The sequence below is a fragment of the Homo sapiens genome, chromosome 1, assembly GCF_000001405.40.
Source record: "Homo sapiens chromosome 1, GRCh38.p14 Primary Assembly".
NCBI lineage: Eukaryota > Metazoa > Chordata > Mammalia > Primates > Hominidae > Homo > Homo sapiens.
This window is the reverse complement of record NC_000001.11, coordinates 197,912,464-197,940,238: the sequence shown is the minus strand read 5'-3', so window position 1 is coordinate 197,940,238 and position 27,775 is coordinate 197,912,464. Positions and strand designations below refer to the sequence as shown.

Genomic DNA, 27,775 nt, shown 5'->3' with positions numbered 1-27,775 from the left:
AGTTAAAAAAAGCAGTTTTACTATTCACAATAGCAAAGCCATGGAAGCAACCTAAATGTCCATCAATGATAGATTAGATAAAGAAAATGTGGACCTGGCGTGGTGGCTGATACCTGTAATCCTAGCACTTTGGGAGGCCGAGGTGGGTGGATCACAAGGTCAGGAGATCGAGACCGTCCTAGCCAACATGGTGAAACCCCGTCTCTAATAAAAATACAAAAATTAACTGGGTGTGGTGGCACATGCCTGTAATCTCAGTTGCTCGGGAGGCTGAGGCAGGAGAATCACTTGAACCAGAGAGTCGGAGGTTGCAGTGAGCTGAGATTGCACTGCTGCACTCCAGCCTGGCAACAGAGCGAGACTCAGTCTCAAAAAAAAAAAAAAAAGAAAAAAAATGAAAAGAAAGAAAGAAAATGTGACACATACACCGTGGAATACTGTGCAGCTATAAAAACGATGAGATCATGTCTTCTGCGGGAACATGATTGGATCTGGAGGCCTTTATCCTTAGCAAACTAACACAGGAACAGAAAACCAAATACTGTATGTTCTCACTTATAAGTGGCAGCTAAATGATGAGAACACATGGACACACAGAAGGGAACAACACACACTGGGGCCTTTTGGAGAGTTGAGGATGGGAAGAGGGAGAGGATTAAGAAATATAACTAATGGGTACTAGGCTTAATATCTGGATGATGAAATAATCTGTACAACAAACCCCTAAGACACAAGTTTACCTATGTAACAAACCTATAGTTGTACCCCTGAACTTAAAATAAAAGTTTAAAAAGAAGATTATAGCATTTTTACCTTACCTTTTCTGTATTTAGATATGTTTAGGCATGGTGTTACAATTGCCTACAGCATTCAGTATAGTAACAGGCTATGCAGGTTTGTATCCTAGGAGCAATGGGCTATACAATATAGCCTAGGTATGTAGTAGACTATTCCAGCTAGATTGTTTGGGTGCACTCTATGATGTTCACACAATGATGAAATCACCTAGCAATGCATTTCCCAGAATCCATCCCCACTGTTAAGCAATGCATGACTGCATATTCTATTCTAATTATACATGGGCTGAGAAAGCTCTCCTTCAGCTACTGCAAATAAGTGATAATCAGGCTCTGTTTTTTAATTTATTTATTTATTTTTGGAGACAGAGTCTCACTCTGTCACCCAGGCTGAAGTGCAGTAGCGTGATCTTGGCTCACTGCAACCTCAACCTCTCATGTTCAAGCCATTTTCCCATCTCAGCCTCCCGAGTAGCTGGGATGACAGGTGCGTGCCATCACTCCTGGCTAATTTTTGTATTTTTAGTAGAGACGGGTTTTCACCATGTTGACCTGGCTTGTCTTGAACTCCTGACCTCAGGTAATCTGCCTGCCTCGGTCTCCCAAAGTGCTGGGATCACAGGCTTGAGCCACCGCACCTGGCCCAGGCTCTTTTTAAATCCCTGCAGAGAATGATCAAAATCTTCTAGATCATATGATTCTACATTAGTAAGAAAGTTATTTCATATAGTTTAGATACAGTCTTTTTAAAAAGTCTGATCATTGGTTCTACTCTTCTAAGGCTGCAGAGAGTGAAGATGGAGGAAACAGCACAAAACCTGAAACAACTCATATGATGTCCTATAGAGAATATCTTCCCACCAATTAAGAAAACTTGGTTCTAGTGAGTACAATGATCAGGGGGATGTCAAAAATAAAATAAAATAAAATAAAAGAAGTAGATCAAGACTGAGATGAAAAACATAGAATGAAGAAAGGATCAATAGGATTTGGTAACAAAATGATACAAGATAATTTTAAAAAGAAAAAAAAAGAAGGAGAAGAAGTTGATGGAGAAATTGATGACTCCCAGTCTGGGTGACTGGGAGAAACTTCAGTAATGTCTTTAACAAAAATGGCAAAAAGTCCAGAAGTTTGCTGAAGAGAAAATTGAGTTCAATATTATTTATGCTGCCCTTCAAACAACAGCAGAAGAGTCAGGTGGAAATGTCTCAAGGAATATATTTGGAGTCATCACTAAAATGTTGAGCCTTTAAGAAAGAATGTTGTTTCCCGGGAAGCAAGTAGTGCAAGAGTGGAAGGAGATTTTGAAGCTGGACCGTGATGTGCTGGCTCTGAGTCAGCCGAACCCCAGGGAGAAGCAGCAGGTGCGTGGCCTGCGGGGAAATCGTTTTGGAGAGAAGCAAGTAATAAGGAGTGTAAAATCTGGCACAAATGTAAATGTGAATAAAGAAGGGAAATACCAAGATTTGGGTAAGAGAAAGGTAATTGCTAACTTTAAGAAAAGTGGTTTCAATAGTGTAATGGGAATAGAAGTGATATGAACAAGAATTTAGGAGAAATGGTGGTAAGCCACTGATGGGTAATGGAAGCTATGAACATTTATAGAAAATTCAATGAAGTAATAACCATCCGTGTTTTATAATAACTGTAATCTATCTAAATGAATTGCAACTTCCAGTAACAATTCAGGGGCAATAAATAAGAGGTATCGATAGTGCCAAATTATTGCAATTACATTGTTTCAGCATTGGTTAGAAAAAAGTGTAAATCTGCAGAGATTAAGTGGAAACTCTTGACACACACATTTTTCTGAGGAAGGCCAAAAATTGTCTCTGAGCTAGAAACAATACACATCTGTCTGGGTGCTTTCCATTTCAACTGAAAAAATATGAGAATTTGAGCCAGACAATTTAGTAACCCTCTTTCTTGTACACAGAATGATTCTATGCTTTTATCAATATCCGATTCTAAACAGAAACAAAGTCTATGGTGGAAACTTTTATTAGTGATAAATTCCAATACAAGACACTCTGGAAAAGCAGAAAACATCAGTGTTGATCCCAAAGGCTTCATAATCCAACACTTAATAGTTAGGTATTCGGGATACTGAAGTTGCATATGTGGTGCAGTCTCAGGATCTAGCTGCATTTATTACATAAGACACACATTAAGCATGACATACTGGATACTTATGTGTACATAAATATGGATTGATTGATAAATGTATAGTTGATATTTACTAAGGAACTCATTGAAGTCCAGCCACTTTAATACACCCATAATGTTGAAATTAAACCAAAATAGTCCGTTTGATTTGTGAAAGATCCTTTTGGGTTTTTTTCTTGTTTTTTTTTTTTGTTTTGTTTTGTTTTAGAGATGGTGTCTCTCCATGTTTGCCAGGTTGGTTTCGAATTCATGGTCTCAAGCGATCCTCCTACCTCGGCCTCCCAAATTGCTGGGTTACAAGTGTGAACCACTGTGCCTGGCCTATATAACCTTTTGTTTCTACTGTGCCTCTTTTAATAAATGAAGTAAATTATACAGTTCATTACAACAAAAATTACCTTTTTTGTTGTGGTTGTTTATGTTGAACTATAAGCATTTGCCAAACTTTGTTGAACAGAAAAGTTCAAAATGGCAACACAAGTCCAGTAAAAAGCAAAGTTATGGCCAAGCTCAATGAAGAAAGTAACCTAGAAAGATCCCCTATTGCATTAGCAGGGAGGCTTTGGGGAGCGTGGCTTTATGTTAGGCTAACAAAAAGTAGGCCTATTACAATATCTCAACTGAAGAAAAATTGCCATTATTTTGGCTTTTTCTTTTGCTTTCAACTAAAAACTGGCTTTAGAAGAGATGAGCCTTCTTTCTTAAAAATATATATCTTTCTATGGGTGTTAGGATGAAAATAAACAACACACATACATACACAGGCTCATGATGCTGAATTTAAGAAGAAAACTAGGGAAATATATCAGAACCTTGGAAATATAAACATCTTGTTATTAAAATATCCAGAAGGAGGCTGGGCATGGTGGCTCACGCCTGTAATCCCAGCACTTCGGGAGACCGAGGCAGGTGGACCACAAGGTCAAGAGATGGAGACTATCCTGGCCAATATGGTGAAATCCCATCTCTACTAAAAATACAAAAATTAGCTGGACATTGTGGCGCACACCTGTAGTCTCAGCTACTCGGGAGGCTGAGGCAGGAGAATCACTTGAACCCGGGAAGCGGAGGTTGCAGTGAACCGAGATGGCACCATTGCACTCCAGCCTGGTGACAGAGCAAGACTCCATCTCAAAAAATAATAATAATAATAATAAAAGAAAAAATATATCCAGAAGGAGACCTCAGAATCTGTACTCAATAAAGTAACTAGGTAATTGTATTTATAAAATAAACTGCCTCAATTTATGTTACAAAAATAATCATCACATAATTACATCCTAACATTTTGGAGGCTTTTATAACTCTTTAAACTTCATGTGCAGTATTTGGACCAATCAGGTAAAATGTTACAAATATTATATTTACAATTACTTTCCATTATATTTTTCTTCTGAAAAACTACTCTGTTTGCAGAATTCAAGCAGCTTTGACTGCTTGAAATCCTGAAATGCCTTTGTGCTTTCAAAAATCACACTTCATAAAGGGCATTTATTCTACAGAATTAAAGTTTACTGAATAATAAATATACTTTAAGTGATGCAAGCTGTCAAAACCCTTGAATGTTGAAGTTAAAGCTGATAGCCCTTCATAATTTTTGCTGCTTTGGAAAAGGAAAAGAAGCAGAATGAGAATAAGTAAAGGCAATTTCACCTTTGAATTTCTTCATCTTTGTATATTTGTCATAAATAACAGTTTAAATATCCTCTAAGGTTAATATTTTCTGATTTGATATGAAAGTACAGAAAAACATAATATATTCAGGCATAATATGAGGCAACAGAGACTGAAGCATCTTATTTGTAGCAAATTTTATTTTCAAATAACCATAAAAGGTATCCAATTACTCTTCAGGTTAATTTATAAGATCATGCAAAATGTAAACAGAAAGTTCCAAAAGAAAAAAACTTTCCTGACAATTCTAATATGTGAGGGAAAAGTACACAGAAATGCACACCAGGAACTTTCTACATATGGCTAATATCTGGATCTTTATTCTTGCTTGCTTTTTGTTATCTTAGCACAAGATAAAATGTAATGCAAAGAAGCAAAAATTAATCCAAGGGAAGAGAAACTTATTGATATGATACATAATAAGGGAGGGTTAACTATATTAATATTCACAGAGGAATGTTGCAAGTAGGGAGTGATGTTAGATGACATTATCATATTCTGCAACACAGTTAAACAGAAATTTAGTTGTGGCAATAATGTTACTACTTACATCATATTCATAGACTTTTCCTTGAGTATCATGCACAGTTCTAAACTTTCCCTCTCCCAACCTCACCACCCCCCCAACTGCCAGGGAACCTCATAAAATAAAACGGAAATCTTCCCAGAGGGGCATTTAAAATAATATTTTAAGTTAGAATTATAATTTATTTTTAAAATAAGGTAAATCATAATATTATTCTGAAAAAAAAACTGTTGTGAGGGCAGAGCACTATTATTAAAATGTTTAAAATCAACAGTAAACCATTAAAAAAACTTCCTATTTTTGACATTGGCTAGAAGCAGGGCTGTGGCTTTACATTAGAGGCATTTTATTTATTTTAATATCAAGAGTTTGTTCCCAATTACTAAAAACAGAAAACAGATCTAAAAGACCAATCCAGAGTTTATCTATATATATGCTTTCAAAGAAAATTCAATGATATTTCGTCAATTTGGACTAAGTCCTACTGTGCTTATTTTGCCCTGTTGTGGAAGAGACTACAAAATGTAAAAGCTATTGAATGAGCTCAAGAGTACACGAACTCTCTACAAGTAAAGCTAGCTTTGTTTATAACATAGTTAAAATTTAAATAGCAAAACTTCATACAAAATTAGGTGTTTATATTTATTTTTTACAACAGTATTATCCCTAATATTCTCTTTAAGAGCCTAGAATGACACGATTCCAAATTTCCATTCCAGAGCTTCCCAGTTCTAATGATTTCCACCACAACATGCCTTGCAGTCACACTGCAACAGAAAATGAGATGATATTTATATGTGGCTAATAAAAAAACAATACTTTGACTCCCAAAAAAGGGTTATTATAAAAGAATGTGTGGTAGATTCCACTGGGATTTTGCTAAATAAAGCTATTTATGTTTTAGGTGATGAAAAATCACCTAAGTTTTAAAAGTATTTGCTTTGGGTCCTTTATTATGGAGTTTTATCCTTATTTGAGGTATCAAAAACCTACCCACTATGTAAGTCAGTATTAAGGTGGCTATTCAACCAAAGCACACAGACACTAACTCTCAGTGAAGCTTTTTGCCCAAGATCAATCTGCCAGAAGTTAGACTAACCCAGGCAACTGGGAGGTAGAAGCTATGAAAATTTAGTGTCCTGCTCTCAACTAAGAGGTCCACATTTTTCTATTCCACACCAAACAGTAAATGTGCAGTTGCCCAGACTCAAAGACTGCTTTACATCACAGTAAAGCACAACAGACCTTCCAGCTCTGCATCACACGCTTCCTCTTCCCACTCACATAATTAGTACTCCTTTCTCTCTCTCTCTCTTTTTTTTTTTTTTTTTGGTTTTAAAAAATGTGCCTGTTTCAAATTTGTATTTTTTTTTCAGATGTCTAATTTCAGTTATGTTCTTTCCCTCTCTGGTCTCTTCCTGCATTTCACATACCAGACAAATATTTAAAGGTCTGTAAAACCAGGCGAAGTTCCAAAATACTTCTAAATGAAATTGCCACAGGTGACAGAACAGGGAAAGAAGGCAAGACTGTAGGGCAAAGATTTGAATAAACTGGCTGGAAATGCATTGGAAAATCTATTTAAGTTGCTATAGCTGTGGATGAGGTTTCAATGAGGCATAAACATTCAAGTTACTGACAAAACCAGCATGATTTGTGATCACTCAAAATAGTCTACTTGTCATGGTGCATTGCTTTTTTTTATTAGTAAGTTGCTCTCTCTTCTTTAAAATTTTTTCTTTTTATTATTCAGGAAGTGAAAGCATTTAAGAAAACATTCAAAATTCTGAGAATACATGTAAGTGAAATATTTAATGTCTGTCATTCATAAAAGTTACATCATTTACATAGGGTTCATTTGTATATAATAAAAATTTCATCATAATGAAAAATTTTCTGGAAAGTATATGTTAGTTTGTTTAACATATGCTTTGGATATACGGCTAAATAGGAATAGCTAAAATTTTATTCTTCAAATATTCCCTTTAACAATTAAAAAAAACCTCATTCCTAAATATTTGTCTGTCTTTCCATTTGCTTTTTTGTTTGTAATAATCATATGTAATTGAACTATGCAAAGATTGGATCTTTTTATAGTTCAGAATATATTTGTATACATCAATAAATTTGTTCATTGCATAGCAAACATGTAAACTCACATAGGATCTATAAATTTTACCCTAGTAATCTAAAAAAGTTGCTGAAATTTTACACAATAGTTTATTCTAAGGTTTATTTTGTTGTAATTTGGGTTCACTTTGTTTTTTATTTTTAATACATGTGGCAATTGAATACAACAAATGAAAATAAGTCATGAAAAGGTAAAAACCAAGTAAGTAATTTTATCCTAGATTACCAGAATTTAATCTCACTATGCTGTTTGTATTTTTTCATTAGTATAACAAGTTGTAAATGTACTGTGCTGCCTCTTTAAGTGTTCAAAATTAATTTCAACAGCATGTGTTTAACATAAAGTTAACTATGTTTGCATCAAATAAATGTTTATTAATGAAAGCTATTTATCATACAAGAAACAGCAAAGATAAGTCATCATACAGAGGTGTACACTAGAGGTGACATATGTAAAAGTGCATGCAGAGATTTCTGTTTAAAAAGGAAGTGATAAACAATAATGCTAAAATTACTGGGGTTTGATCCCTATACTCTTAAATGGGTGATAGCTTTTCTTTGAATTTACAGTTGGAAAATGCCATTAACAGGACTAATACACATTAGCAAGCAGGTGAAATGAATGTTTTGGACTTTATTTTACAACTGTGCTTGACAAATGTGTGAAATTTTTTTCAATAATAATTTTTTTCAAATATGGGGTGGGCATATTACTGCCAGGTTGCTCTGGTTTTGTACATGGTTTATCTAATTTTGTTTAAACCACATAATTTTAGGCCTTCAGTTGTGTTAGACACCATAAAGAACACAAGTTTCGTTAACATTCAGTAAATGACATTTAAGTCTCTCTCTCTCTCTTTTTTTTTGGCTTAATAAATTTTTTAATGTATGATTATCATAACCTAATAGTGTCTTTGTCTTCACTGCAGTGGATTTCCGATCAAACTTTTCCCCTTCTTTTAATACTTTAGGGAATTTTCAAACGTCGGGATGTTTGGCTGTAATGCCCCAAGATTTGTTCTCCCTGAAAAAAATCATAGTGACAATTTATTAACTACAGAGCAACTTGGCTTTTAGGGGTCTGCAATTTCTATTTAGATTTACAAATATCCATTTGTGCTCAATAGACCTAACATGAAATCTTAATCATATTTAAGGTTTCGTTCCATGCAATTACTTTATATGCTAATTAGCCTTTTTATTCTAAAAATTGGACTGAGTCAAATCAGTGGGGCATTACTTTTGTTATAAGCAAATATATTCAAAGGTATTTCTAGGTTGAATTACACTGCCTGTGCAACAATGTGTAACATTTCATATGAATCAGAAGTTTGGAAGTCTAAAAACTATTTGTATGTTTAAATATTTCTAACAATGTTGTATTACCATTTGAAAAGCTTTTACATATAGATGCTGGAACACACTAGTACGGTTAAAACTTAAATAAAACTGATGGGAAAGAAAACTCCTTAGATTCAAAATGTTTTATTCACACAAATTTAATAGGATATATCACAATTGTTTGGTCCATAAATATTTAGGGGAAATAGTTTCTATACAATGCATTTATCAATAAACAAAGAAACATGGACAATTTTGCTAGACCACTTACTGTACTATAAACACGAAGCTCAATATATAAGATTATTGAATTTATCAACTATATTTGAAAGAGTGCACAACTGCTTTCTATGACATGTTTGTCCCCTCTAACAGGATACACCATAAAAAGAGTTTCAGAAATAAGAGGTAAAACAGTACAAAACTAGTGAGGTGTTAAAAGGGCTTAAAACAGTTAATTTAACAAACAACACATATATCCTGATTTTTCACAAACTTACTTCCAAGTTATATCATAAGGCACATAGGAGAACTGAGTTATAATTAGTCTACTTAATAAAGTAGATCTATATAGTACCATATATTGTTCTGTCAAAGAACAAAATTTATAAGTGTCAATATTTTACCTGTAAAAGTGTATTAATAAGATCTCAGCCTTACCAAGGTTGTTTGGTCTGGTTAGTGGTAAATGCCCAAAATGTAATAGAAGTATGAAAAGTCAAGATTTAAGCTCCATATAAGATGATAACCATACTTGCTAAATATATAATGGCAATCACACCTTTCTTCTGTTACAGTGTTAACTTATCTTCCATCATCTTTTTTTAAAAAATAAGCTACTTTCTGTGCTAATTTTCTAAAGACCCTGAGCAAAAGTTACAATAATGCACTTTAATGTGGGCAGTGAACTGTCAATATGTAACCACACATTTATACAGCCAGAAGGACACCTTTAAAATCTATTAAATAGCCACTTCGACCACCAAAGGAGATTTAAGGGGTCCAAAAAGTGGAAAATATGTGCAAAGTTATTCTTAACAATCCACTAAAGCAAGACATATATCTTGACTTCTTTTTTATTTTTTTAGGAAATCCACAATCTAATTGGTATTTAACTACAACAGAAGCGTAATAGATGAACATTCACCACTGCCCAGACCATTAAGATTTTAGCTTAAATTAAAAGAAAAAAATGCTACTGTAAACTAGGAAATATATTCAGATCAGCATCCACAAGGCTTCTGAGTTTATCTACTTTAAGACTAATAACTTCAAATCTCTAATATCAGAAAAATTATTTTCAATACATAAGTCAACCTATGTCAAAATAAAATAAAACAAAACAAAACCAATTGTTGGTATAAGTCTACCAGGCTGGGTATTTTAAACATTATTCATATAGAATGCCAGATACAATATCATGGTACAGCTGAAGCCAATTAATAGAGCTATTAATTAAATTATATTGATTTTTTTACTTCTTAAAACATTATATTTTGCTTATTTCCATTTTCCCTGGGAAAAAAAGTAACTAGAAAGAATGGTTTCCGAGCTATTGTTTTTAGCTTTAGGAGGTTAAAAGTATGGAATGTCAAAATCAATGCGGAATTTTCATGGATACATAGGGAGCTTAAGTATTTTTCAAATGTTGAAAAACAAATAACCAAGTAAAAAGTTTTTAGAGTTGTACACCCCTAAGAGAAGGAAAAGTCACATTCCTGTAATAGATTTCTCACCTAATTAATCATTACTATTTAAAATGTCTGTAGTTAATGCTTTTATTTCATCATATTCCTCACTTGAATTAACAGTTCAGGTAAGAAATAGAAATACTAAAAACAAGTTTTCAGTTTTAAGATTTAAAAAATGTAACGTTTTCAAAACTCCATAATCACACATACAATTGCAAGATTTAAAAAGTAACTAATTAATTATCTGGTTCTTTATTAACCTAATCATTTAAGTGGGAATATGATTATTTGCCCATAATAATACCACTCTTTTTTCTTTTTTCTTCGAGATTCTGGAAATAAGTAACATACAATTTTAAGAGGCACTTATTAGAATTATTCAAAAACTCTCCTTACCAACTGAAAGACCTAATTAATTTTTTTAAATCCAAATACACTTTGTAGACAAAATATATTCACTTAAAGGAGACAATACTGTAAACTCATTTGCCAAGTGGCTGCAGATGCTACACACCAAGCTGTTATTTTTATTCCCCAAATATCTTGTGGGTTAGAAGAAAAAAAAAGTCTTGTAAATAATAAAATAATAATAATTAGAATAATAATAAAAAGAAGAGGAAGAATTTAAAAACTAAAAAAAAAAAACCAATGTTAGAAAAGGTTTGTTAAGGTAGTTTGTGAGGGGCTTCCGGATTCGTGGCTGTCCATGTTAGAGGTCACGGATGTCACTACAGTGATAGTGGGATTGGTCAGGTCTGTTAAAGTGGTCGCAGTGCCGGGTGGAGTGAGAGCTCCGCTGTCTGCTGAGGGCGGGGCCGGAAGCGACGTGCCGTCAGCTTTATCAACACCCCCATTCTCCTGCCGCAAAAGGTTCCTTCTGAATTTGGCTCGTGCGTTTTGGAACCAAACCTGCAAACCAATCCCAATTGATTTCTTTACCGATGTTCATTTTTATATTTCTTTTCTTTCTCTCTCACTTTTTCTTTTTTTCTTTTTCTTTCTTTCTTTTTTTTTTTTGATATAGGTTTCTCCTTTTAAATATCATTGTTTGTCTTTCTTAGGAGGAAAGGGGCTTTTTTTTCTTTTCTTTTAAAACAGAGTTATTCAAGTAACACTACAGATTTATTATCTCTCAACTGCACTTATTCCACCCTGTAGCATTAACAAGTGCCACTTGGAACAACTGATGCTTAAGTGGATATACCATGGAAATGAACACATGGTGATAAAAAGGGGGAAATACACGGTGATTCCTCAACTGTTATCTTTTGAGAAGAGGTAGAAGCAGGGCCATTGAAAGTATGGCAAAGTAAGAATCACTCATATGAAATGGACATCACTGAAACAGACTTCAAGCCATTCGTGAGCCCAACACACGGTATATATTCTTCACATAGAAAAAACTCCCAGGGCCACAGACCTCGAACAGCCTGAAACTGTTTAGCAGAATTTAAAATGCCTGCTATTTGTCACCAAGAAGTGAGAGAAGATCACAGGTGACTCACAGCAACCTATCATAATTTCATTAGTTATATGTTCTTGCCATGATGAGTTTAGGAAATCAATTGGACAGCAGAACTAACTTCCAATATTTTGTTTCTAATTATGGTTTGTTAAGGCAGGAAAATACTTGCTCCAATTGGTTGCTGAAACACTAACCATACTTTTGGCTTTTCAGGAGTGGAAAAAAGGTTCCACCTGAATTTGGAAGGTGAGTGAGGCTGCCAAAAGTTTGCCGAGTTAAGGCAGTGCCAACAGGTCCCTCTCAAGTCCGTGCACTGAGCATAATATTAATGGAAATCGATAAAGCCACGGCCTGTGCAAATAACATCACTCGCATTTGCACAGCAGTGAGACAAGCTGTGCTGCCTTTGGAGGGCCCATCTCCACATATGTAGAGAGAATGTGGCTGTATTTAAAAAGACCCTGGGTCTCTGTTTGGGAACCCTCCAGGAAGCCCCTGCAAAATCTCAGAACACCCTCTAGGGAGATAGCTAAGATAAACTAGTAAGAAGCAATATAGGAAATATCTGCGTCACTCTAACCAGGGAAGAGCACTATTTTTACTGGGAAGGGGAAGGGAAATGTATGCACAGTCAATGATGCATGTGTCTTACCTGCAAAACTCTTTTGGTCAGACCTGTTTTCTGGGCAAGCTGCTTGAGGTCCTTGGCATCCGGGTTGTGGTTGATGGCAAAGTAGGATTTCATGGTCCGGAGCTGGTGATGCTTGAAAGAGGTTCGCATGCGCTTGGTCTTCTGCGAGGGTGGATAAGGCTGCTGGTCCCGGTCCAAGTGGTCTGCCTCATTCTCATTACAACCTGTTGCAGTAACAGTGAACAAACAACTGCTCAGTGGAAATTCTTGCATTAGCTGACATGATGGCAGGCTGTATGACACTGCTATGGTAATAAAGCAGCAGTGAAAAAGGTTGTCAACCCAATTATGAGTAGTATCTAGACAAAAAGAAAGAAGATAATTGCTAAAGTAAGCTGAACTCTTCTGTTAATGTAGACACAACCAAAGTTTATGCAATAGAAAAATATTGGTTAAATCCTCTCTTTTGTTTAATGGTTGCTAGAAGAATTTGAGAATATGAACAAACCCTAAGTAGTAAGGTGGGAGTGAGAGAGACCTACGAGAGTGAGAAGAAGAAACCCTTTTCTAATATAGTTATTTGTACCAGCTCCCCACTGCCCACACTCACAGTGTTTTAAGACTCTACCTTTTGTCTATATTTCTGGAATGAGACACACTGTCTGAAGGTATTGCTTTTTGTCATGAGACGTAGAGAAACAAGTATTACTACTCCCTCAAGTCTGAAAGTTTCTGAGAGCCCACCAACTAAGGAAGCATCTAGGTCAATTCTAAGGGTTAGCCTTTTCTCATATTCCTAGAGCTCCGTCAGTCAGGAAAAAGTTAGAAAAGGCTGAAAAAGGAGGAGAAGTTAGAAATTCAAAATTTGTGAATTTCTTATGTAAACATAAGAATATTATTTGTTTCAGCTTTTAGCTATGACTGGTTAACACAGGGCTATACCAGAAAGAAAATATTTTTCCCCTGGAGTGATTTTAATAAATATTTCTGAAAGAGAATGAGCCCAGACTTCCCTTCACACGGTTCACGCCTGAAGCGCTCCCCACAGCTCACAGTTGAGAGATACTGATGGTGCTTATTTCTAGGCTCAGATCTTAGTCCCTTTTGCTCCAGATGTGTGTGAGTGGGATGTGAGCTGTGCCCCTGGCTGGCCTGGCAGAGAGAGGGCGGCATTTTCTCTTCCCTTACAAAGACTTTCTTAGCACCAAGGGCAAAACAACCCAGTCTTTGAAACCAGCCAGAAAGTCATTATCCCCAGGATGTAAAGCTACACTTTTAAAGGGTCATTTCCAAGAATCTACTGGCTCTGCATAGGAAATACAATTGTAAAATGAAAACATTTTGTGAAATATTTACACAACCAACTTCAGCCAACTTCACAAATTAAAGAGCATGGTAATTTTTTTTCTTTAAATTCTTCCTTCAGATAGTTATATAAATTTAGATCTGATCATCCTGCCTTGTACTGCTTTATAATAGAAAATCTAAAACCAACCTGATCATGTCATTCCAGGGAGAAAGAAACCTGAATCTTAAAAAAGGGAGGCATCCCTTAATGTGAGCTCTTCCAATCTGCTTAATAAAATGTTCTGCTTAATACAATGTTATCTGCCTGCTAGGCTCTGTTTAGAATTACTTTTTAAAAAATATTCAGCAAATCAGCATATTTACAGAAATACAGAAGTTTTGTAGTCATCACCCAAGAAGGCAGCCACATATAAAACTCACTTAACAAGAAATTCTTCCTAATGTAAAAAGACTAGACACAAACAAATGTCTCCTTTGTTTGTATTTCCATAAGACGCATAAGTAGGAGGACACACTTGGCAAAAGAACAGGTGAGTTCATTGAGGGAACTGACTATACCATATTCAACTTTGAATTGATTCCCTGAGTCAAACACAGGGGTAGGAGCTCAAGAAGCATTCAATCAAGATGTTGGGCCCTTTGTTCATCAGTAAATTACAAGTGAGTATTAATGCGAAATTAAATCAACTTGAAGTGGAATCCAAGTCAGATATATACATTCGAATGTAAAACATAGGCTTCCTAAACTCCACCAGAAAGGCTACCATATGTCCAGAGATAACAGAAAGAGTATGCATTACATTTTATCCTATTTTGGCCCAGTGGGGATATGTCAAGTTCAAATATTCTACAGAATTGCACTTTCATATCCTCAAATGGATGAAACAGCATCTCTATGACCTACTATAAAACTATACTTATCTCCAGTAAACTCAGCCATATTTCATAACCAGATTATAAATATACCCACAAAAAATAGTCAAAGGGGCACATGTTAGTCATCGGAGGGTTCTTCAACTCAGATTTCTTTCCTATCATATGTAACATGTAACCTTTCCTGAACAATACATCAAATTGAATTTCACACTTGGGACAGAGGACTTGGTGTTTAAATAATGCCCTTGGCCATCTTTCCCCCACTCCACACCAAGGTAATATATAGAAATGAATATGATTCCCAACCTGACTATATAATCATTAGTTCTTAAAATGAAATTTATGAAAAATAATTGTAGTAAGATTTAATGAAATGGCTTCCCTTAAAACGCATTCTATATCCATTATTGCTGATTAAAAACTCAGCAGAGCCTTTTAGTGTGTAAAATACAGTTATAGGCCCTGTTTCCACATAAAATACACAATCCAATATGTAAGGAGATAGCTCGTTGGGTCTTTATTAAACAGATATTACTATATATGATTTTCCTGTGACTGTTATCTCATATTATGCAACTTAATAGAGAAAGCTATTTCTTCTACAGAGTAACAGTGCATTATCTGATATTATTTATGTTTAACTACACATGCATTATATAAACTTGCAAATGACTGTTTCTCCAAGGCCTATTGCTAAAGCTGTAGGGGATTCCCCCACTCCCCGAATTATGAGATGAAATGATAACTCTTAAAACTGTCTTAAATATCTACCTGTCAGTTCACATCCAGTATTATAAGTTAATGAGAAGATCTAAGTATTTTATTTCCAGTCACTTATGCGATGGGCACCCATCCTAAAGTGAGTGTCGCTGTGAAGGTATGTAACCTTCTGAGAATGAAGTGATCCCTGGAAGACCACTAGGGGTCAGTGCCAGGCTAATTTAACCACCAGGAGCCTTAAAAGTTTGGATAGGAAGAAAGGGCTTAAGGAAAGGATATTTTGAGAAGTGGCAAAAGTTTAATCTCTCAATTAATGTTTAAATTACACAAATAAGAGCTTCCTATCCTAAACTAAATCTTCTTCTCATCCCTAGAGGGCTTTATTTCAAGCTAGCATTTCAGGTAAACTTTCCATGTCTCTTTCTAAAATATTTGCCTGATTAATTTGCACAGAGGTATAAACAAAACTAGGGACATTCTCATTAAAAGGCATTTGCCCTATCAAGCACTAGCTGGCCTTTGCCAAGTTTCACATCTTCTCTGAGATTCTTTGAATCACAAACATGTTTTCTGCACATTTTGAAAACATATTGTGTAAATTATACTTAGTTTAGTATCAACCTTACCCTTTATGAGACTTGTTTACATTTAATGTTTACATTTAATGAAAGATAGCAAGACAAAATCCAAAGAAGGCTAAAATAACGAGTTAAAACTGGATTTATTTTATTTTTTTACATTTTAACGCGTGTTTAATTTGCTGAAGGGTTTCTTTCCCTAGTTTTGGAACAAAGTGGCATCAGATTCGCAAGCACTGTTTTAAATGATGGCCTGATTTCTGGTCAGGCATCTTCAAACCAATTCCCATAGATAATTTTAACCTGATCTTTAAAATATATATACTATTGAATAGTATCTCTGGGAAAAGTCCAGAAAGGATGGAGTAGATGTTAACTAAGAGGCATCCAGTTTGTAGTGGTGCGAGGTACAAACTCTTCGGGCTAAGGGGGCCTAAGCAATTTTTCCCTCCTTTGGGACCAAGACAAAAGCGACCTTCTCCACAACAACTTGTAGCAGCATTAATCTGCAAACTAAAGACCTAAGTGGCTCAGAAGGATTCTTTTATTCTTCTTAAAAATAAATTTGTACTCTCTAGTTATTTTCAGAGAAGTAAAAGAATCTAAATTCTACTGTTCTTAAAGCTCCTTGGATCTAACATGAAGATCCAAGGCGAAATCAAATTTAGCAAATTAGATTAAATAAACAATCAAAAAGTCAGGCTTGCCTACTATTTGGCTAGAAATCTTCACCCTTCTGGACTTTATCCGGGCTGAGAGATCCTTTCTTTCAAAAAAAAACTCACTAGTTTATGTATGAGTGGCTTGCTTTCTCTCTCTCTCTCTCTCTCTCTCTCTGGGAATTAGGGCCTTGGTGAGTGGCTTGAGATTCCAATGTCACCTTCTATTAATAAAGAACAATTAGTGCCCTGCCTGCCCTGCCCCGGGGACCACGCATCAAAGAAGATGAAGTAAGCATGCTGGGCAAAGTGGCCCCTAACCAAATCTCCTGCCCCAGCACAGCAGGGGCCAGTGTGAGGGCATGGCCACTACTGAGGGTTGCCAAAACCCGGGGCTTCGCCCGCTGCCCTCACACAGATTGACCGACCCTGGTGAGATTTGCAGTGAGCCGGCAGGTCCTTTTCTTTTCGTCCAGCAGCCCTGGTATGAACCCCCTAGGGACAAGTGCTGCCGCACAGTGTTCCTCATTGCTCCCCATTCTCCCTGCAAGGCCACCCGCTGTGCTTGCCCATAAAGGATTCTCCTCTTCAGTTAGATCAGTCGGTAGAGAACCCCAGGAGAGAGCCCAACGGAGGTCTGAGAGAGCGGCCACTCATCCTGTGTGGGTTCCCCTGAAAACTCTAAACTCAGAGCAGGACTCTTAGCTTCACATTCACACTGGCTGTGTGATCTTGGGCAAATCACTTAACTGGCTGGACACTGTTCTTTACCATTGACTAGCAATGTCAGGCACCATACCAGGCCCTGGGAACTGGAAGAGAAAAACAGGCAAGATCCCATGCTCTGAGATGCCCATGCTTGGTATCTGGGGGCATTCATAGTAATAGAGTGGGGTTGCCATAATAAGGTCCTCAAGGTTCCTTCCAACAGAATGGTCTCCCCTGTCCTGAGTCTGCTGAGATTCTCAGCCACATGTGGGCCAGGGCACTGAAAGCCAAAGCAGTTAAGGTCCTTAGGCTCCCCAAAAGTGCGCCAGGGCTTTCTACAACCTCTTTTTTTCCAGTGATTGGGACTCACAAGAATAGCTTCTGTTCTGCTCAGAGTTAGATTATCATCTGCAGAGCCGATCACCATCCTCACCTGGAGGATGGGGAGTGGGGGCAGGCTACCAACAATGGGAAACTGCTGCATGTGAGAGATTGATACATGATAGGCGTGTCCCCCAAAGCAAGGAAGAATGTGTTCTTGACTTGTTGTCTGCATGTTGTTTTTAATGAAGAGAGAAGGTGGTTGAGTATAGATGAATGGCCTGAGATACCACTAAGCCTCTTCAGGAGGCCTGACCTGGAGGTACTTTCAGTTCCAGGGGTCTGGATGTCTGGATGGTCTATCACACCGGGAATGAGACGGCTGGTTGAATATCCTGGCTTAGGAAAGACACAGGCTAGCTCAGCTGTGGAGAGTGATTCCCACCCCTACAACTGCTTTTTGCCAAGATCAGGGATTAGGTTTTTCAACACTCTTGCCAACTGTGTTCCTGATTAACTTTGGGCTGGTGACCACAGCCTCTGACCCCTCTAGACAGACTAGGGTTGGGCTCTGTAGACTTTTTTTTTTTTCTTCAGTATTTAGGAAACCTCCTACAGGATCTATAATTTGGCCTCCACAAAGAAATTGCCCTGGGGCTGTTTTGCTCCAACTGAGAGCCAGAAACTAATGGGCTCATTAACTAATGGGCAACAAGGATTTGGCTCTGCCTGTTTGGGGAAAGTCACTACAGCCCCATAGTTATGAATGTGTTTTTTGCCACAACCTAAATAAAGTGCTGCCTCTCCCTCCCTTCCCCCCTCCTCCTCCCTCTCTCCCTTCCTTCAGAGTGAGAGGGAGTTGCAGTGAGAACAGAGGCATTGGGCAAAACACACTCTTGCAGCAAGACTTTGGACGGGGAAGGAGCTCTACGAATTTTCCTCAGGGAGGCCGGGGCTGCGCCGGGGGTGAGGATAGGAGGCACACCTGAGTTGTAATTGACGATGTCCACTCCCAGCGCTGGGCTCTTCCGCTTCCGGGGCCGCCCTTTCTGCACGGTGCCCGTACCGTTGAAGTAAGGCAGGGCCAGGCCGCCGCTCTTGGCCGCCAGCTCCGTGTAGCTCAGCTGCGGTGGATACTCTCCTTGCAAGAGGGTCTCGAAGTGGGCGCGGCAGTACACCAGGCTGTCCTTCATGCCGAAATGGTCGCCCGTGGTCAGAGTCTTGTTGCAAGTGGAGCAGGTGAAGCAGCTCAGGTGGTAGACAGAGTCTCGGGCGCGCATGACCATCTCCGAGGCGGAAATGCCAAGGTGGCAGCGGGCACATCTCTGCACAGAGAACCTTCTGGAAGGAAAGAGTTGAGTCAGGGCGCTAGTTGAAGCAAGGCAGAGCCATATCCCACCCGCGACACCTGGGTTTGGTCTGCAGTGGCCTGAGACTGGGACCTGGGAGGGTTCCAGGGGGACAGGAGAGTAGGCATTAATTTTATTTGCTCATCGACCTTTTCTGATAAACCAAGACAAAGGATCTTTACATTAAAGTCAGAAGAATCGGGCAACTAAGCCTTAGTTTTCTTCTCTGCAAAGTGAAAATTTAAAACATTAAAAAAAATTTAAAAAAGCAAACCACTAGTTAGCACTAGCTAACTCACGGTACTAGAATATTAAATTGCCATGCCAAGTGAAAACACTTAATCAATTACAAAACATATGAATGAAAGAAGATATAATTATTCCTGGATGTGCGCGGGTGTGGGAAAGCATGCGGACACAGTCCTGGAAGATGACGATTTTGTAAAGGAAAGGTTATTATTTTTTTAACAACTTATCTTGCTTGGGCTGAGAGCGGAACTAGGTCACCTGCACTTAGTCCTGTCTTTCCCAATCCAGAAACATAACTGAGAAGAATCAATAAAGACGCCTGCTGCTGATTTTCTCCAATCTGGGGGGCATGGTTGTAACTAGCGATAAAAGGAACCCGGAACTGAGTGGCTTGGGTTTTGGCAATGGCATTTATTCCTTTTCATAGTCATTTACAGAGTCTCCTGCCACCTACGAAAACCTAACACTCTGTTGCTGCTGCCCGAGCCACTAGTTCAGTTTCAAGGCGCAGAACTTGCCCAATTCGTAGCAAGCGGAAAACAAACACCCAATCAAGTCTCGGTAGACGGAGACCACGTCCATTTACTCTTCCCCAGATTTCCCCAAGTTCCGCCAGCCAAGCTGAGAAGTGATGGGAGTGCGTGGTATTCGCTGATAAAGCTCTAGATTTTTAATGTCCCTCCCACCCACCCTCACCGTCGGTCAGGGAGATTACAGCTTGAAGGCATATGCAGTGGGTTTGCCTGGTCTCCGAAATGATAACAGCACCCGGAATGGGGCAAAAGGTAGGGGACGGAGAGGGGATTCCGGGCTCAGGCAGATGGCCCCTCCAGGTGTACTCGGGCGTAGGAAGTGGGGGTGTAGGGGAGTACCTGTAGTAATCCTCCTTGCAGTAAATGCTACCGTCCTTGGCAAAGCAGGTGAGCTCGGACTCGAGGGCCAGCTTACATTCACAGCACTTCAGGCATCTCAGATGCCACTGTTTGTCCACAGCCAGCAGATAGTACCTGTCCGAGATCTTGCCCCCGCAGCCGGCGCACAGGGCGGGCTTCTCCGGGCTGAGCGGGGGCATGCCCTGCAAAGAAAGCACACCGCAAGGCTGAGGAGGGCGCGCGGTGTAGCCGCACGACGCGGGGTTCTCCCCCAGGCAGACCAAGCCCAGGGTGTGCAGGGAGAGCGGCAGGGGCCAGGGTCCACTGCACAAAGGCAAAAGTCAGGGGAAACATTTGTGATTTCTCTCTTTGCGGCCCGCTTGCTTTCTTCCGTGTCTGCCTGAACCGGCGTTCGCGTCCTCCCGGGACTACTAACCTAAAGACATCCCAGCCATCCGGAGCCTCGCTTAAAAAGGACTAGGAAAATATTGACTACAGTTTGGTGATCGTTTCCGAATTCAAATAATTACAAGCTAAAAATTGTGGTTTTCGACGCACACAAAATAAAACAACGGAAATGATAAGGGAGTGAAAAGGAAATTTCAACGAGCACAGGTTATTTTTAAACAAAAAATATTACAGTTCGATTTCTCTAAATTCTTATAAGCAGCATTGAAATCAAAAGCAAAGGGGAGATTATTGGACCTCTGCTCATAATTTGGTCGACTTTGTTTTGATTGAGATATATTTGGCAGCCCCTGCTGTTCCCTAATTTTCAGGGCTATTGGTGCCGTTCCCAATAAATGTGTAAAGTGGCTGTTCCCAAAGAGGGTCCGCTGTCCAGCCCGCTGTATACAGTCCCCTCTTTCCCTAGCATCAACAGGCGTACTGAGACCTTTGTCTTGAAAATCTGTTTAGTGCCCAAGTTATGCTTCCCTCTGGGTCCCACTGACCCGACTCGGGATGCCCCAGTGGCCCCACCTTGAGGAGCCCAGCCCCGCTGCAAAATTTGGGTTTGGGTTGCTACTATTTGTTTTTAAAAGTGATGACCAGAAAAAGGGAAAAGGAGTTAACCTCCGGACATTTCCCTCACGACTAGCAGAAATGGGTTGATCTTCCCCACGAAACTTCAGCGGGCCTGAAAAAGTAAAGTTTAGCCCTTTACTCCGACCAGGGGCCCCGGCACTGAATGAGTGTTACAAATATAGACACGTTCACCAGTTGGGCTACTTGGCCGGACCCAAAACCCAGCTGATAAGGGCTAGAGCAGTCTCCTGATTAGTTTGGGCTACAAGTCCTACTGTGGTACCAAAGGATCTACACAGCTATGTTTGGCCGAAATAATTTCCGGAGACTTCTGTAGTCCCCCCCCCCCCCCGTTAGTAATCTGGAAAGGGAAGCGCTTAGATAAGTAATTAGTTTTCTTTATTAAGAGGACATGACTTTATTATTATGGATAGTAGAAACAGTGGTGGTTGATTAGCTTGTTTAAGGGTTGGTTATAAAGTTCATGCGTTTCGACTGGGTGCCGCGCTCCTCCGTATGTTTTATTTGATTTCCCCCTACACATGACACCCGCCGGGTCCTGGCGCTAAACGTAGTGCTGTCTCCTTAGAGGGACTGAGTCGGGATGCCAGAAACCCTGAGATTCTCTCGGTTAGGGGTCCCAAGCCCCGAGCGTCTAGAGAACTGGAAATGACCCAGTCGCGTCGGAATCTACTCCACAGGTCCGGTCATCAGGCCCAGAGACTAAGGCCACCTGGGCTCCTGCTTGGCTCGGACGCCTCGGCAGCGCGCCGTCCTCCTATTGCTTATGCCCAGCTTGCCCTCGGAGCTGCGGATCCTCGCCGGGGAGACGCCTGCCCCGGAATCAAGGGAACCTTGAGGTCTGTAGAAGAGAATGCCACCACCCCCCATCCCACCTCCTCCCAGTTCCTCTCCCTGCTCTTTCGGAATCAGCTGCGACGGAGGATAGCCAGCTGCAGACATTTCGATTCAGAAAAACGACCGTTTCTTAGCCCTGTAGGCATAGGTGGACGGGAGAAAACTCACCCGCCACCCTCAAGCGGACGTCTCTACGACCCGCCGCTCCGGTTCTCCACCGGCCAGGGAGTCGGCTTGGTTTAACAGAGGGCGCAGGGGTGCCCGGCTACCGCCGCGGCGGAGCCCTTCCTTACCGCGTCGCGGCCGTTGAGCTGGGCGCCTTTGGCCAGACGGGCCTCAGTCTTGGATCTGCGCTCCATCTCCTCCATGATGCCTTGGATGTGGCCTCCGGAGATCCCGTGAAAGAGCATGGCTGGGGGGCGGAAAGGACACGAGTTGTCTTCTGCTCGGCACCCCACTATTTCCATATACACACGCCCGGGGCTTTCAGCTCATCCGAGTGAAGGAGGCAAGGGACCAGAGAGGGCTGCCCTGTAGGAGCGCAGAGACGCTCGAGGATGGAGGGAAAGAGGGAGAGAAAGGAGGAGAAGAAACAGATGGAGTGGAAATCGGTCTGCTTGGGGGGCCGAGGGGAAGCAAAAAGAACTGGGAAGAGTTGGGGGGAAGCCTCAGCGGCTCCCTGAAGGAGATGTGCAGAAAACAAACAATTCGGGCGGAGGGAAAAAGAGGCGTAGAAGGCGAATCTTACTGCTCTGAGAGATCGAGTTACTAATGGGAAACAACTGCAGCGGGGGGAGGAAAACAAAATCTGGTGAAGAAAGAAAATAGTTTTGAACACAAAGAAAGAAAAAGACGTGCTATTTTCAGCGTTCCCTGGCTGCTTGCAAGTTCCCAGTGCCTGTAGATTGGGTTGGGGACTGCTCCTGCCTGAGCTGTGTCCAATTTGTTAAGAGACTAAAGCCAGCCCATTTTTGATAATTTAGTAGGAGGAGTTCTCTCCCCGGAGCTGCCACGGATTTTTATTCAGACAACAAAGACCTGTCATACTCCTCTCAACCCCCTGGTGATGGGCAAGCAGGACAAACATTACAAAGGGGTGGGGGGATAGAGAGCGGGGAGGCAGGAGGAGGGGGCATTTACCTCCCCACAAAACACACACACGCGCGCGCGCGCGCACACACACACACACACACACACACATCCTTCCAAGAGTTCCCAGCAGTCATGTTTTAAAGGGGAAAAGGAGCTCTTGTTGTCCCCGCCCTGTTGCAGAAGGCCTAGAACCCGCCTATTTGATCCGAGTTCAAGATCAGACCTTGGCTCAGGACACAGAGAATATCAACTTCAAACTTTGGATTTCCTCCTTGTGGACTTTTTCATCCCCAGCCTGCAGGACTGTCACCCGAAATGCATAAATATTGAGCAGAAATGTAAGCAATTTACTGAGGTGGAGATAATGCTGGTTCCTCTCCTCCCCATCCCATCTTCCTCAATCCACTTTTAAAAGCAGCTGTCTGACAATTCATCTCTTTGCCTCACCTTCTTGAGGGCCGGAGACCCTACTAGATGCTGGCTTCATCCGAAGTGGAGAGGGCGTTTGGAGCGTCTGCATTTCTCAGGGTTACTTTTGGCAAAACAATTTTCTTTGAGAAAATTAGAGTGTAGGGGACAGGGCATGGACCTGTACACACGGGTACGCAATTGCGCCTTGGCCATAGGGCGGCTTATTCTCTTCCCCGGTTCAGGTTTGAAGGAAGGTTGCCGGAGATTCTAATGTCTCATTTGAAGCTTGCCAATATAGGAAGCGACTTGCGGACTCCCGGGAGCTTGGCGCCTGCCCCCGCAGGACTGGGCGCTAGCCCCATCGCGTGCTTCTCCCACTACCCTGGCAGGACAGAGGACTTGTAAAACTGGGCGCACCCGCACACTCAGAAGGGTGTGAAAGGGACTCTTTGCCGTGGAGGAGGGGAAGGTGAGAACTGACAAGCAGAATGGCAGACCTGCTCCTCACAAGAGGTGGGATTGTTCTGTCGCCCTCAGTTCTCGGCAGCGGCGGCCCCTCCCCGGCCCCATTAAAAAGTGTCCACAATACTCTGATATTGTCGATTCATTCAAACGGCCAGAGGCCCCCTAGGAGTCCGAAGCACAGCGCTGCGGCAGGAACCAACGCGGCTTTACCCAGAGAGGAGGACGCGCCGGCCGCTCTCTGTTCCTTCCGTCCCCTTCGTCAGCCTGCGTTCCCCACTACTTCCCGCCGCCTTTCCCAGGACTGCGGTGCCTGTGTCCTGGCACATCCTAGATACCTCACAAGAGCCGCCCGGCCGCAGACCCGCTTCCCTCCGCCCGGGGGAGCCCGACCGGGAACTGTGGCCAAAGCTAGAAAGATGACGGGAGAAAAGCCAGGGAGAGAGGGAGAGAGGGAAGAAGGAAAGAAAAAAAGAAGTGAGAGGATGAGAAGAAGGGGAAGGAAGGAAGGCAGAAATAAAGCGAGAGAGGAAACGACCCCTGGTGCAGCAGCCTGACTTCCTGTCCCAAAGCGTTGTCTTCTGAGGCTCCTGGAGTGACCTCTTCCATGAAACTGAAGACACTACTGCTTCCCCTCCTTTTTTCTCAGGGTCAAAAATAATGTTATTTGCAGACTGGACGCAGTTTAAGTCCTCCGGGTGCCAAAATGCAGCTCATAAAACGCAATTTCACACAAAAATGAAGCCAATCAAGTGAACTAAGCTGGAGACATCCCCCTCCTCCTTACTTTGGCAGCTATACCTGACAGCAGGGCTGCTATTTACTGTAAGTAATGTAATTAGCCCCTTTGGATGGGAATCAATGAGCTTTTCAAACCCACGTGCACACAAGAAGGGCCCTGAGGAGGGGCTGGGGGCAGCAGTCCTTTCAGAGACAGCAGGTCCTCTCACAAAAGGGCAGATTGCCTTCACACAAGTCAGAGGCTAAACTGGCTCAGAGCTGGAGGAGGAGAGGGAGAAAGAGGAGGAGGAGGAGGAGTCTCTGAGAAGTCCCCTCAGTCAATTCACCCAAGGAAGCTCCAAGCAAAAAGTAAATACAGGACTTCAACCTACTTTGTCTAGTTTCTGTGCTAAAACCTCTCCCAACCCCCAAATGGGGGTGTTTGAAATTAGGTTTGGTTCTTGTTGCATATTGCCCCTGCTCAGCAAAATCAACAATGAAGAACCCAAGAATACCACTGCTTCCTTGCAAGAGATAAAACTTTGGAGACTGCATGCAGGGAAAGTTAAACAACTCCAGGAAAAAGCCAGAACTTTACAGCGTCTCCAGGGAAGCCAAACACAGAGGTTTTGTAAGCCCTCCAATCATCCATTCATTCTTCTATTCCACACAAGTTTGTTAATCATCTAGGTACAGGCAAGGCAGAACACCTTCTGCAATCAGTTTCCAAGTTGAATCCTAGCTATTCCTGCTCTTATAAAACTCAGGTTATAAGTTCCTGCATCCAGTGGCATTTGCTACTTCCTGTAAAGAAGCAAACTGCCAGGATTCTTCCTTCTCAGTGAACGCAGGAAGTCTGGAGAAAGCTGGGGGTGGGGTGGGGGTCAGCTGGAGTTTGGGAGGTCCTTGTTAGCTCTGCGGAAATACGTCCCCATGGGTCCAGCCCTGCCTTCTCTCACAGTTCCTAAGGAGGAAGCCCAGGAAGGGTGGGAAGGAATGCCCTCGAATTGGGTGTGTGACCCTGGGTTTTCTACTCTTTTTGTCTTGGAGCCCCCAAGAAAGATTGCCTAAGAGCTCCCCGCTCCTCATTCTCAAAGGACTTTAAATAAGCACTTTAAATAAGGAAAGCATCTTTGTACCTCTGCTTTCTTTCACCTCTCCAGCAGAGGGGCTGAGGCCCGGTGGCTGGGGACAAAAAAAAAAATGTTCCCCCTTCTCCCAGCTGTAGTCTGAATGGCCCGCAAGTGTTCCATAAAAATTACAGTGTTCATTTTTTCAGTTCCTGAGCTGAGGGACAGGTGCATGTGGTTCTCTCTAGCCTGCGTCGGGGATAAGATCTTAAGTCTCCTCTAAATTCAAAGTTCTACCAGGTATAATGGGGCAGGTCCCTTGACCAGCACTGCTCTCCCTCACAATTGAGCACACGCAGTCCACTAAGCTTTCTTTCCTTTCTATTCTGACAGCACCCATCCCGCTACTGTTGCCGCTTTTAGGAAAGTGGACGGCCGGACTATAGTGGAGCATAATAGTTGGAACTGAGAGTTCGGGATCTTAGAATCTCTATGAAGGTCAAAAAGACTGCAGCGCCCTTGTCGCCGGCTCAGGTGGGTCTACATGGGCAAAGAACCCGAGCCCAGTAGAATTCCCTAGGGGGGAGGAAAGGGAAATTAAACCCACAGAACAGTTAGGGTTGAGAGGGAAGAAGTAACCCAACAAATGTGCATATTTTGAGAGCAAAGGTGACTTAAGGTCTCTCTCTACCTGAATTTTGGAGGCCATGATTCTGCGCCTCTAAGTTTGCCCTTTAAGAAGGAGGCGTTACCTTTCCTCCAGACCCTGTTAAGCTGGTTAAGGAGCCCCTTCGGTTTGAAAGGCGCGGCTCTTAAAACAGTATCCAGCGTCTGGCACTGTCCTGAGCACCCAAGGCCCAGTGAAACGTCAGCGTCAGCCTGAGGCTGGGAACCATGCGTTCAGTGCCGCGCCACCTGGCCCTGGATGCCCGGGCTGCGCTGGATGGAAGGTGAGCGGATTGCCGGGACACGCTGGGGCCTTTCTCCAGACAGTGGAGACTGAGATACTCCATGTGGAAAATTTCCCCCTACACTGAGGTTGGCAGATCCATACTGGGGCTGCTGCACGGGCGCACTTCTGATTCAGTCCTACTAGGGGATCCTCCCTCAAGACAAATGGGAGTCAGCCAAGCAGAGCTGGGATACGGGGAGTTCGGCTGCCTGGAAAGGGGTACCCGAGGCCACGCTCCAGCTGCGCACCCTTGCCAGCCTTTCGCTGGGCGGTACTTCCCGGCCAAGGCCCTGCCCTTTCGCGCGTTCTCTGCCTACCCTCACCCTTCGCGACAAAAAAAAAACCTCTCGCCAGCTTTTGCTTCCTTCAAACCTCTGTTCTCTATAGCCCCTGGGCTCTTCTCCCCAAAGGGGCCTGCGCCAAGTCTAGAATACAGCTCTTCTGAAATCTGATGCTCTTTTACCTGAGATTTGTTGCGCCGCCTGCCCTCAGCTCTGCAGAAATAAAGGGAGAAGTCCCGCACTGCGTCCGCTGAGATCAGGCGCAGAAACGGCTGCGCTGGGTTAGGACTGAACAACAACAAAAAAATGTGGGTGAAGCCAGTTTCCAGTTAACCCCTACACGTGTGAGAAACAGTGTCTTCTCGGCCCCCCTTCCATCCCTTCCAAGAAAGAGACACCCCCAGCAGCTCCCCGGAGGGTCAGGAGCGCGTCCCTGGAGCCACTGACTACTGGAGGATCAGTGGAACCAGGACCTCTGCCTGGCGCCCCGGACACTGATCCTGAGGAAAGTCAAAGACAGTCAAAGAGAAAGGCAAAAGGAGGGTTTCAGGAGTCCTATCAGGAGACTCTGAAAGAGAATGTGTATTTTTGAGCCTACGAAGCGCGGTTTAATTTTTAAGACAAACACACACTCCTCTTCGTTCCACCCAACGAAGGCGCACACACACGCACACACACTCACATGGTATACGCACTGGCCCAAGGGGCAGAGAACATCAGAAGGAACCTGGCACATAACTCACCTGCCTCTAGAGTGGTACCGTTCAGCATTCTTAGAGGAAAAGGAGTGGATCACGCCGTAATGGTGGTTGCACTGGCAGAGAAAAGCCGGGAGTCAG

The 27,775-nt window shown here is 41.8% G+C and overlaps 1 protein-coding gene across 5 annotated transcripts, besides 2 other annotated features; it reads right to left on the bottom strand.

Moving 5' to 3' along the window:
* Positions 1 to 4,760: 4,760 nt before the first annotated feature.
* Positions 4,761 to 27,775, bottom strand: LHX9 (LIM homeobox 9). Of its 5 annotated transcripts, none has more exons than NM_001014434.2 (6): positions 27,680 to 27,775; positions 22,242 to 22,360; positions 20,065 to 20,267; positions 18,580 to 18,935; positions 12,446 to 12,648; positions 4,761 to 11,237 (listed from the first exon to the last, which is right to left on the bottom strand). In NM_001014434.2, exons 1-6 carry the CDS (start codon positions 27,705 to 27,707, stop codon positions 10,980 to 10,982), a joined length of 1,167 nt encoding a protein of 388 aa, NP_001014434.1. In that variant the 5' UTR covers positions 27,708 to 27,775; the 3' UTR covers positions 4,761 to 10,979. The 5 variants fall into 5 exon arrangements, with proteins under 5 accessions (NP_001014434.1, XP_011508083.2, NP_064589.2 ...); XM_011509781.3 differs by lacking the exon at positions 27,680 to 27,775 and adding an exon at positions 23,488 to 24,165; NM_001410927.1 differs by lacking the exon at positions 27,680 to 27,775 and adding an exon at positions 23,488 to 24,165 and having other exon boundaries at positions 7,651 to 8,320.
* Positions 18,242 to 18,764: an enhancer, noted in NCBI's record as "H3K4me1 hESC enhancer chr1:197890605-197891127 (GRCh37/hg19 assembly coordinates)". NCBI's record gives its function as "activates a minimal SCP1, AML or CMV promoter by ChIP-STARR-seq in primed H9 embryonic stem cells {active_cell/tissue: H9 hESC(primed)}" and the evidence as "EXISTENCE:reporter gene assay evidence [ECO:0000049][PMID:30033119]".
* Positions 21,570 to 22,296: an enhancer, noted in NCBI's record as "H3K4me1 hESC enhancer chr1:197887073-197887799 (GRCh37/hg19 assembly coordinates)". NCBI's record gives its function as "activates a minimal SCP1, AML or CMV promoter by ChIP-STARR-seq in naive H9 embryonic stem cells {active_cell/tissue: H9 hESC(naive)}" and the evidence as "EXISTENCE:reporter gene assay evidence [ECO:0000049][PMID:30033119]".

Bases quoted from the DNA above. Each gene is read 5' to 3' on its own strand.
- LHX9 (XM_011509781.3), bottom strand. From the start codon at position 23,560: ATGCAGACGCTCCAAACGCCCTCTCCACTTCGGATGAAGCCAGCATCT. The intron at 22,361-23,487 runs GTGAGGCAAAGA...TCCGCCCCCCAG, and splicing joins GGTCTCCGGCCCTCAAGAAG to CCATGCTCTTTCACGGGATC. The intron at 18,936-20,064 runs GTACTCCCCTAC...CTTTCCTTCCAG, and splicing joins TGCAAGGAGGATTACTACAG to AAGGTTCTCTGTGCAGAGAT.